General features: G+C 32.5%; 1 long non-coding RNA gene across 13 annotated transcripts in view; it reads right to left on the bottom strand.

Annotated features, from left to right (window-relative positions):
- The window catches only part of MIR99AHG (mir-99a-let-7c cluster host gene), a 561240-nt gene that overhangs the window by 200730 nt on the left and 347981 nt on the right, over positions 1-12529 (bottom strand). For 3 of the 13 annotated variants that reach the window (NR_136545.1, NR_136544.1, NR_136546.1), the window contains exon 1: positions 11257-11795. The exons of 9 other annotated variants lie outside the window; for them this stretch is intronic. This is a non-coding gene — a long non-coding RNA (mir-99a-let-7c cluster host gene). Of the gene's footprint in view, positions 1-10425; positions 10704-11256; positions 11796-12529 lie in introns of those variants that run through there. One more of the 13 variants, NR_136550.1, reaches the window with a different exon arrangement.

Genomic DNA, 12529 nt, shown 5'->3' with positions numbered 1-12529 from the left:
CCAGCTGATATCAGGAATGGAATCAATATCAGGCATTGTATAGTTGTCAAAAAATAATAATAGGATTTAAGAATCATTGACCTTGGCCAACTTTGAACTGATTATTTAAAACAAACAAAAAAATTAGAAAGTGATATTACCATTTTTAGGGGCTAAAATGTATTTAATACACAACCTCCAAGAAAATGTGTTAAATGATAAATAAATCATTTATCATATATGGTTGAAAATTTCCAGATCATATGAGAATTTTGTAGCATTATAGATACAAATAAAAAATATATTTTGTTTAAAAAATATTTTGAGAGATATATTAAGCCACTAGTTCACCACGGATCTGTTGTATGAAGTTCCATTATTTACAGAGATGTAGTTTGTTGCAATAAAAGATGACAGATTTACAGTAGAAAAATAATTTCAGTGCAGGTCATAGCTCAGTCTTTCTTAGCTACAGGATACTAATTATTTTACTGTCTGGGGTGGAAGACTGTGATATCCTCTCCCTCTCAATGTTAATGTGTATATGTATATGTGAAACGGCTTTGCAAACCACATTGTAATATACTACTTTCATGTTATTTATTTTATTAAAGCAGTTGCTTACTAGCAAGTGTGAAAAATATCCAGATGACAACCCCAGACTGTTTATCAATATAGTCAATGTAATAAATATATTCATTAGCTCTTGGATGATACACTCAATAGAAGCTTATAAATATATTCGATTGGTGACTTAAGAACTTCTAAATAACTTAATCTTTTTTCCATAATAAAAGAAAAATTTAAAAATCTTACAATTTTGTATTAGCAATGTTTGTGTTATCCTAGCAGAGGAAAAGATCTTAAATTTGAGTATAGTAACACCAACGGTGGAACCGTTAAAAAATATCACAGAAAATAGTTAGAAAATATCTCTAAAACTATTCCCATTACTTTCAAACAAATATTTATCCCTATTGTCAAAAATATTGGGTCTCATTTCACTCATATGGTACATAAAATGTTGAGTTTAAAATTTTTAAGAATTGGCCGGGCACGGGGGCTCACGCCTGTAATCCCAACACTCTGGGAGGACCAGGCGGGTGGACCATGAGGTCAAGAGATCGAGACCATCCTGGCCAACATGGTGAAACCCCGTCTTTACTAAATATACAAAAAATTAGCTGGGCGTGCTGGTGGGCGCCTGTAGTCCCAGCTACTCGGGAGGCTGAGGCAGGAGAATGGTGTGAACCCAGGGGGCGGAGCTTGCAGTGAGCCGAGATCGTGCCACTGCACTCCAGCCTGGGCGACAGAGCGAGACTCCGTCTCAAAAAAAAAAAAAAAAAAAAAAAAAAAAAAAAAAAAAAATTTAAGAATCATCCCTAACTATCCTATGTAAAACGCAATGGCTTAATTATTTTGCTTTAAACCAGAAAATTTTTGCCATCCAGAAGGAGTTTTAGAAAATAAAGTGACAACTGAGTTTAACTACATGGATATTTGGTCCAAACTATAATTACAGTTGTATATATGTAATAAATAACAGGAGCAAATGGGTGATGATAAAGTTTAAATATTGCAGGACTGGTTCTTCAGCATCTACTTAGGATAACACATACTAATTCTTTTTTCCAGGATTTTTTTTCATAGATAACTCAGAAATACTGAGTTATCACTTTTCAGAGTTCAAATATAAATGAATTTCAGTTAGCATGGGACCATGTAAAGCAATAACTGCCTGTAGTACTTTAATTAAAGTGATTCTAGTTTTATATTTCATCTATTAAAGAAAACAACTGACTACTATATTTTTGGTACCAGTTCTGCATTTAAAAAATTATGTAAACAGACATCTGAAAACACCCAACGAGTGTACTAACACAGCACAATAGATTAAAATTGTGCCATAATCACACAAATAAATACTGCAAAGCAAAAAAGAACAACCAACCAATATATGCAAGATGGGAAAATCACATGGACAAAATATTGAGTAACGTAAGCCAGACAAAAATATATACATACTGTGCAATTCTATTTATATGAAATCAAAGACTGGTAAACCTAATATATATGGTGACAGGTGTCAGAGGGGGATGAGAGAGTCCTAAGGAGTGCTGAAATTTTTATATTCTGGTATCTGGGAGAAGATGTACGAATGTTTATAACTACATATGGATGCATATGTAAGACATTCATCCAGATGTATGCTTAAGAATCATGCATCTTAGAAACTTTTATTTAAAACTTTTTAAAGCTCATAAAAAAGAAAAAAAACAAAAGATAATCTTCATTTTTCAGAAAGCACGCTCAGTGGGCGTTTCAACAAAATTCTTTAAAATGTCAGCGTGCCCTAGAATATACATCAAGAATGAAATTACAAACTAGACATTTTAATCGTGTGCATTTACAGAAACAATAACTTATGGGTAAGTTTATATTCAATACCTCTTATTAGTTATTTCTACATTTACCAACGAAGCCAAATCTCCTTCAATTGTATTTCTGTACTACTAAAGTTTTAGGAAAAGAAAAAGATATTTTATAACTAGATGTAAATGATTTAGAGGGTAAATGGCCTTATATAAATGAAGGAATAGAAAACTGGAAGGAAAATCTGTGATCAAAGCCAACTCTCCAGGCGCTAGTATTATGACCATGAGCAGAAAGGCCATTTTTCCCTCTTTAAGCCTTCATTTTCTGTTGCATAAAATAAAGGTATGAAAAAATAACATTCAATGATCCCAGCTCTAAAATCAACAACTCAAATGGGCCAGTGTTGAAAAAGTGACTTTGGCCCAAAATTTTCAGTGTTCATATCTTGACCTGTAACAGCCAACATTACATAAAACTTAAAAACAAGTTTATAAGAAGTATTTTATGCCCACATTCTCATTTCAAGTATAGTGCTATCAATAGAGGTTAGAAATCTAATTTTTATAACAATTGCCAACAACTAGACTATAATAGAGTTCAAATTTCTTTCTTCACAAGCATGTGATATGGGGAAATTCTGAATTTTAAAGTAAACGGACATTGTTGTCTAGTGAGAAACACCTGTTTCAAGGCAGTTAAGCACTTTGAGAAGGCTTCTGAGGATTTGCTTTTGTGGAATGCCACAGTAGAGTCCTGCACGGGATGGCACAGATGGCCACAGTGAAAACTCACCGTGAGTCTCTAACTCTTGTATGTCTCTGGGTATAGTAATGTATATGTTGACAAAACAAGCTAGTGCAATTTCCTGTCTGAGAGGTATTTCCCCCTATTATGCTATTCCACTACTCATTATTTTAAGCCACTGATGTGCAAAAGAGACTCACATTATAGAACCTTTGTTCATGGATATTATCTGTTTTTTTTTTTTTTTTTTTCTGGAGAGAAACTGCTTATGACCAAAATTGTTCATTGGTTATTGCTTAATTTAGAATAATACTAAAAGTACTTCAGGGAACCTTCTGTATTAAAAAAAGTATATTTCTCACTACTCTCTGTCTATGGCTGATTTTAATATTGTTAGAACTCTGTTTCTCCAATTGTTACAGAGGAGTGAGAGAGAGAACATTTATACCAAAGGGTTATATTTAATCGTCCTTCATACTCTGAAAGTCCAAGATTATTCAAAATGTGGTGCAACAGATAACAGCATCGACTAGAAACACCATTAACACAGGTTCAGATCCAGACATCAACACTTACTAGCACTGGAACTTGGGGAAAATTAAACACTCTTAGCCTCCCATCTGTACCATGAGATAATCATCAACTTTCATGGTTATTTAGAGGATTGAGATGAGATATATGAAGCACTCTGCATAGGACCTGAACAAGTCCATCAATCACTGGCCATGGATAATGCTTTCAAGGGCACGAGTCAATCACTTGAAAGAACGTCGTACATAGGATAAAGTGTTCTACCATCATACTCAAAACTAATGCGTCAGTTTTCTAATCACTTCCAAGGTCAAATTTTTGAAATTCTTTCAGCAGTGCGCTTTGAAAACTGTTGTGGAAATACTAATGGATTGTTTAATGATAAATTTCTGAGCTTACGTAGGGTAAAAGCTCTTTAATTCTCTATTCCAATGCAATGCCCCCACTTTTTACCTCCCATTCCTCGTTTAACCATCCACACGCCTTCCCGTAAGAGTTTTAGAAAAAACTTGGCTATTCCTGGCTGCAAAGAAAAGCCTATTTCAAGCCCAAGAAAACTTAGTCAAGAACAGGACTTTACTTAATGGGATAATATTTATGACAGTAGCTTATTGCTATTGGGCATGTAAGTAACTCTGAGTAAAATAGATGGATTTTTTTAAGTTGATATTACAGATATGTAGGTTCATAGTCATTGCTTATAATTTGATATGTAAAAACAATTTAATAGACTTGCATATTTCAAACAGTGTACTTGCATCTTATTCTTGCTATTTTCCTTTTCATTAGGCAAAGAAAATGTAAAAATCTCTTTCACACATACACACCCACACCTCCCCCCCACACATACCATTTTATGAACATATACACACGTTTCTTTCACCTATAGCTGAATAACTTTCATAGTGTCATAGAGTATATAATATAAATCTCATAAAGGCATGGAGTGTATCAACACACATACTAATCAATTTTTTCAAACCCAATGTAAGTTTTGGTCTTATTATAATTTCCAATACGTTAATGGCTCTGCTGCCACCTAAATGAAAATTGTACCAGGTACTCATAAGCATTAACTCTCTTCATCTGGTAAACCTAGTAATGATGTTTCAAATTCAATTTAAAAACCATTAAAACGTAGTGACTTTTAAACCCATTATAATTTAGCTCATTTCTGCAAAATTTAGTTTAGGAGAAAGCAGCTGTGCATTTGAACATCTGGAAATTACTTTTAATTGCACTTTTCTCAAGTGAGAAATGAGAAACTCTACCTGTGATTCTATTTGTATATCTGACCACACAAATCCTAGCAAACACCTGCACTTTATTTATAATTTCATTTTGGGCTACATAATCTCATTTTGCTATTAATCCAGACTTTTATGTGATTTAGCAACTGCAAATTTGATCTTGCACGGGCTTTAAGATGGAAAATGGAAATTGCAAGATATTTGATTACTCATAAGTTACTTATCTAAGGAGAAAACAAATTTCAAAGGTAGACATGACTAATCTGAAAGTTGAAAATATGCAAATACTATTACATTTACACTTAATGACTTGGGTATTGAAAATAAAAACAAATTCCAGATATGGGTTGGCCCAATAGCTTACATTTTATCTAAGACCTATTCATTCAATAAATCAGCCCTTGGTCTTGAATAAAGCATTTAAAACTACTGATTACCAAAATTGATTACTGCCTTCTAGTAACAAATACCAGTTTCCAAATTAAATTTGTTGGCACAAAAATATATCAACAGGAAAATGTTATCATTCCATAAATATTCTGAACTGATTATTTCTCTGTTTATCTGCCAAGATTACAAATCATTGTTTGTTTCTATATCATTGATTCATTTCCTGACAACCAAAGATGTTTTAGAGATATCTATAACACACTTCAGTAGGAATTTTCTCTCCATCAACTTTTTCAAATGTCATGCTATCTGAATACATCTACAATTGGTGGTTGAGGTGGGAGAATCTCTTGAGCCCAGGACTTCAAGACTATAGTGGGCCATGATCACACCTGTGAAGAGCCACTACACTCCAGGCCTGGCAGCATAGTAGGATCCTATCTCTAAAAAGAAATAAATTAAAATAAAGACTAAAATTGGCTGTTGACAGGAAAAAAAAAATAACTCTCCATAGAATATTTATGAATGGGCCCAAGGAATGGAGAGGAAAGAGCATGTGATCAGATTAGAATCCCACAGAACATGCAATAGTCATATACTTGTATTTTTCCCAAACTCCTGTACTAGCAGAAAATTCATATCCAGATCACTATACTTCATGAAGACTGTAACAGGAAATTTTCAAAGCAGTGCTTTCGAAAAGTAATTTTGGATGACATCTCAAGTAGAATTGGAATAAAGCCAATCCCATAACTTAAATTTCAGAACAACTGTTTCTATCACTGTTTAAATATTCTGTACACAAAACATGTATTTATATATACTATTTTGAACACAAAACACAACTTAGTAACTCATAAGTAGAACATGCATGTTCTATAATTTTTAGCAACTTGACCTTTCATGCACAACTGTCCATATTCTTCAGGAAAATGCCCAGGTTTAGGGCAAAATGAAAAACTAGTGATCCTTGCTAAGGCTGAGTCAGCTTGGTTATAATGCTGATTTGTCCAACTGAACGAGCTGAACTACCTAAACAGGGATTTAAAAAAAATCACTATACAGAGAAGAACCCTGCTTCTGCCAAGGAAACGCTATCACAGATCCTCCAGTGAACAAGAATGAGTGTGTAACTCCTCTCTCCTTGTAAAAATATCTCAGATTGGTGATTGGGGCTCTGAGGCAAGACTCGGGGATTTAAATATGGTAAATGACTGTATAAGCTTAAAGCACCATGGACCATACAGAATGGATCACCACCATCCCTTTGACACCATTTTCACGAGTTCTTACAGACTGAGTAAATGAAAGCTGCTCTCAAAGCCCACTGTCTACCTTTCCAGCGTGTTGTTTATGTATGAACAGCAAGTTGTAATTAGTTGCTATAAAATATATCATTTTATTACTCTCCATCTTACTTTCTATTTTAGTTTTAAAACTGAAGTCCACAGAAAGCCCATATATTCCTCACATTTATCTAAGCATTCAAATAAAACAGTTACTCCTTTCAAAATCTCTGCAAATGATAAAGCAGTTGATTATCACAGGAAAGAAAATGTTTTTGAAATATTTTCAGATATTTCCTCTTACAGACGTTGACCTCAGATGTTAGTGGGAGAAATGGAAAGAAAGGCACGATAGCTTAGTCTCATGATATTTTTAAACAAGAGATTATGTAATATTTCAATAATAGCAAAGCAGAGACAATTACAACTTTAGTAGATATTAGTTTTTTAAGCAAACGATAGTTCTCCAGATTTTCAAAGAATTAGTAAATCTTTAAAACGAATACTAATCAAATATTTAGAATCACTCTATAAACACGTAAATTAGCACAAATTTATGCTGAATATTCAGCGCTTTAAAGGAAGCAAATCCTCAGATTTGATGTGATCATTAATATTGATTCATATATCGACTTACTCTCAGTAAGAAACTCAATAAATTTGTTTATAAAAAATAATATGGAATAAGAATAAACTTAAGAGCCTGCTATCAGACTTTCCAACCTCGAGTTCAAAAGACATATATTTCAGGATGTAGGCAAAAACACAGGTTGGCAAATACACATGAACACATAAACAAAAGAAAACTAAAAAAATTCTTTGTTTTTTAAGAAAAAATTTTGAGCATTAAAAAAGAGGTTCTTTTACTGATCTATTTGTCTTGACTTTGAGAGAAGAATTTATAGCAAGATATAAATCATCATTGTTTAAACAGCTAATAGGTCAGGTGGCTTGTAAAATGAATGTTTAAGAATGATATCAAACAGTAATATTTACTTTGTGATAATTTTAAAATTAAACCAATATAAAGTAAAAAAATTGCAACAAGTGCAAATCAATGCTTCTTTTATTTGAACAAGACTTAAAATCAGCTAACGTGATTCTTTCTATACAATATCAATTGTATATAAATCAAAGTAACATTAAAAAATTATTTGGTTATATAAGCTATAGTTCTATGTTGGCTGCTTGGAAATATGACATTTGTTCATCTAATAAAAGAGTAAAATATGGCAGTTAATTTTATGAGAAAAGCCTTACAAATGCATTACAGATTATAATTACTGTTTTAATATTTCACTTTTATTGTATTAATGAAATAACAAAGTATTATTATTAGCAGTTTATATGAAAGGTATCATCTTTTATTTTAGTGCATACTTTCTCCAAAACAACAAAGGTTGGTGTCTTCACGTGCTTCTATATCTAGTTTTGTTACTGCAAATTCCAAATCATCCTGACTATACTAGTTTTTATGGCCGAGGTCACTGAAGTTGTGCCAAAAATTCAACAATGATGTTCAATCTAATGTAGCAATGCATTTATCTTATTGCTGAATTTTAGACTCCTCAGAACAAAGCACTTCATTTAAATGATAAATGCTCACCTAAAATACCCTGTTGTAAACATTTCTCACATTTAAACAATTGTGGATAAAATACTGCAATGGTAAAGCTTTCTTTTCAATACAGAATAAAAGTTGATGTTTAATTATTTAATGTCTCTTTTAATTGGAGGGAAAGAAAGTATTTTAAGTGCCTGTTGCATAATTAAAATAAACAAACAAAAAACCCTGTCACATTTAAAATGGTAAAAGTCCATAATTTGAATTGACAACTATAAATGAATTTAACTTTTTCTGAAGAGTAAAAGAGATTCCACATTGTAAAATTTCATAGATTTTAATATTTCCAATATAAGTATGGGGGAAAAGATGAACGAAAAACTTGTTCGAGCTATTCTTTATAAATTGAAGAAATTCAACAAAAATATTAAAATATTTTTCTTTTTAAAAGTAATTACATTTCCATATAGTATTTTTAAAATGTTAACTCAATGAAGGAAATGTAATCAGTGTTTTGCATTTTTGGTCCTAAGGAAAACTAGCTAATAATTCTGCTAAAAAGCCTAGATTATGGAAATAATTACAACGCATTGCCATAGCAAAAGAAAGCAATTTTTTTAGCTATTTCAGTAAGGAAGATAATTTAAATTGTCCTTAATACTTACTTGTTTCTACCTCAACTAAAAAACATTTGTCAGTAATCGTGTACAAGTAAGTTTCTTCTGAACTCGCAAACTAACACTTCTGTGTACTCCAAAAGTTCTATATTTGATGGCATTTACTTTGCTATGGGCTCTGATTAACAAAGAATACCCTATAATTTTCAGTTAAAACATTTCTTAGTAAATATTAGAAAAATAATCTATCAATTTCAAATGCTAAGTACAACAACTGATTCAAAATAATCAAAAAATAAAAACAGAAGATGTGTGTAAGAGCTAAAATTAAAATTAAAATTGAATTCAAAATTAATTTTTAAGTGAGAATCATGCTCAACAAGAGAAGCTATCTTATTTTTCCTGCACCTGTTTCATGATAATAAATGTGAAAATGTTTGGTTTTTAATCCAAGTTTTGAAATATTTACCTTTATTAACTGCTTTTATATAAATTACAAAGATTACATTAAATAAGAATTCAGCTGTAAACTCACATACAAAGAGACCTTATCTAGGTAAATTTCTATTAATAACAATTTATAACTTCTATGGCTTTTAATGTTGACTAGTATGAAAATTCCAAACACTCCATTCCTCGGTTAAACTAATAGCAAGGTTTTTACAGTATCATAATTTGGTCCACAGCAAAACAAATATAAATTGTATATTTACAAAAAATGACCTGAAGGAAATCAGGAGGCAATTTCTAATCCTAAAATTTACCTAAAATTAATATGATTTTTTCTATCACCAAAATTTGCAATATTCTATACTGTAAAGGGAAGACAAATACAGAATAAACATGCCTATTAAGAAATCTCTTAATTAGGTCACTCTTAAAAAATAATGTATCTGATTCTCATCAATATTTTAAAGAGAAATATGACTGTTTCTAGTAAAATAAAGTTGCACTCTGGATTACTACAGATTAACACACAAGGCATAATAGTATTTACGATAGTGATAATAAAATTTCTTTTAAAAAAACAAAATAGAGCAACTGATATTACACTTTTCTACTTCTAATTATTCTGTAGAGTACCTATGTTTAATGTCTAAAGATATTATTGAAAATGGCTATAGAAAATTTGAGGTGTTAATATTTGATTGCTATAGTATTTCATTGCCACTCGTGAATTTAACTCTTAAAACACTAGAGTATAAAATTGGCTTACAGAACAAAATTCAGTTATAGTAATATCAAAATTAATAACAGTTCCAGAAATTGGATGTTAAGTACCTTTGAGCTTCAAAATTTATTTCATGAAAAATTATCCTTTTATTGCAAAACAGCAATTAAACACAATTACTTAAAAGTTATTCAGCCATGTTTATATACCAAGCATTTCTATTAAAACATTTGTTAGAAATAATATCAAGGTGTTAATACGTTTTTAAAATTATATAGCAAATGCTGACATTTTTAAAAATCCCAAATGCTACCTTTTAACATAGACAAAAACACTATAAAAATGTTAAGCTTAATTGCGCGCACGATGAAACTTCTAGAAAACTCCATTACTTACTGTTCACTGAGTATTACTTACAGAGATTAACAGTTTTAAGAATTCATTTGTTATTTATCCTGTAGTGTTTTGAAAAACCTTTTTTGCACTGTATACTTCTCAATAAGATGATCATACCTACTCTGGTCTGCTGAGAAAAACAAAAAATCAGCAAATCTTCTTTAAGACTGTGCTTGCTCCATCGTATCTTAGGTGGCAACAAGCAAGGAATTCATAATGATAAAAGCAACAACATGAGAAAAAATATTTAATGCTTGTTTCATATTGACTGTATAAAGTCATTTTGACATGCCTATACAACTGGTTGTGGCAGCTTTCAGACATGATTCCTGATTTAAAAAAAAAAAAAAAAAGAAAGAAATTGCTCCAGGTTCTTTAGAGAAAGCTTGCCGCTGGGAAGTTGATTTTGGCCAAGTGCCAAAATCATGTGCAAAGGGGCCTCATTACGGATTCATGGCAGCCTTCAGCACTAACAAAAAATGTGACCCAACAGGCTAAATCAGCGACTAAAATTAAAAAGTAAGAGACAAAGACAACTTACTTAATATTCCTTCCAAAGCAACATTAAACTTTTTTTGGTAATTAAACCCTTATTAGTATAATGCAGTGTTCCTCTGTCCTCAAATGATTGTACAATTACTCTTTAAAACTTGTCAATTTCCCTTCTAAATAACACTTTCTTTCTGTGGCAGTTTACAAAGATTTCGCTATATAATAAAACTCTATATCCACTGTAATGGGTTCAATAGAAGAAAACAAAATCGTAAAAACGCAGACGACAGTATTCCTTTAAGATTTAAACAAACAAACAAAAAATAAGCAAACAATCGTCAGTACATTTTGAACTTCTACAAAAGTGAACATGCACCCTCTAAACTCACATTGGTTGCGATTAAGCAGTCTCACTGCCCAACTTTCCCCCAAAAAAGTAGATTTGATATCGTAGCCTTACCTAGATGTCTTCTGGCTTTTCTGCAGATCAAAAAGTTTCCTCCCTAAGCACACAGATATTCTTTCACAAACCATAAAGGCCCTTTTATGAATCCAGCACTGTAACAGGCTACCTTCCACACCACGTTGAGAGCCCAGTGTACAAGCTCTCAAGATAAAATACGTTGCTAATACACAATTAGTGGGAGAGGTTGTCTACTGGAGAATTTATCTTAACGACAGGAGGAAAAAAATAGAAGCTTTTTTTTTTTTTTAATAGCAAAAAGGGTGCGGTCAGATGTTAGGTTTTGCCTGAGAAAAGGGTTCTACACTGCACTAGTACCTAAACACTAGCAGAAGCTGCCTGGGAAGGGAGCCAATGGAAGGACTTTGTTTGACCCAGCTGCCAATCTCCCCTGAAGCCGTGCGCCAGACTAAACACTCACACTATTTTAACTCAAATCAGGCTACAGCAGCTGTTTGCTTTCCGGCTCTGAGCTCTGCACCCACCATGGCCTGTGCAGTTCACCCGCGAGCTTTGCTAGCTGCCTGGCTGAAATCTGTTCCGGGTTGGGATTTGTCATTGGGGAGCAAATATTAACCCTATTCCTCATGGTAAATCTGGACTGTTTGTTGTTCAGCATTTGGATCTGGTCATTGGGGTAATTTCTGATCTTTTAAAAGAAGACTGATATTTTATATCATGGAGAAAATTTGAGATTTAAAGGTAACAAGGATTCCTACGTTTCTTTGAAATTCTGATGTAAACTCTTCTGATGTGTTCAAATTAACACTAAAATAGCCCTTGTGTGTTCCTACAAAAACAAGGTCCTTAGAGTCCACCTCTAAGAACAAAGATGGTACCCATTCACTCCAACCTAAAGCTCTTCGACTACAGCAAGATGGTAAGTTGGCATCACAGAGTCGGAGAGACTCACATGCTTGCAGGAGTTAGCACTGACTCCTCAATGCTCAGGAAAGTTTCTCCAAAAGCAACACCTAGGCACACAAGAAGTTTGCTTTCCTTGTACGAAAAGGTACCAAGTGACCTAATTTACCGTACCTAAATTTCTAAGCTTATTTAGTTATTAGGCTAAGTGTAAAATTCACATTCTGAATTGTACAACGTTATGCCCACAGGTAGCCTGAAGTTAAAAACAAACTAGAGAGAAGTTAGTTAGGGAATGTACAATTAAAGTAATAATCAAAATGATCTGATTGTAGGGGGGAAAGAGATCCAATAATTAAGATTGATTGCACATGAGATAGGAGCCAAACATTATGTATGTGGCAAA

Source organism: Homo sapiens, chromosome 21 (assembly GCF_000001405.40).
Source record: "Homo sapiens chromosome 21, GRCh38.p14 Primary Assembly".
Lineage (NCBI taxonomy): Eukaryota > Metazoa > Chordata > Mammalia > Primates > Hominidae > Homo > Homo sapiens.
Note: the sequence above shows the minus strand (reverse complement) of the source record. Positions and strands in the feature narration are given on the sequence as shown.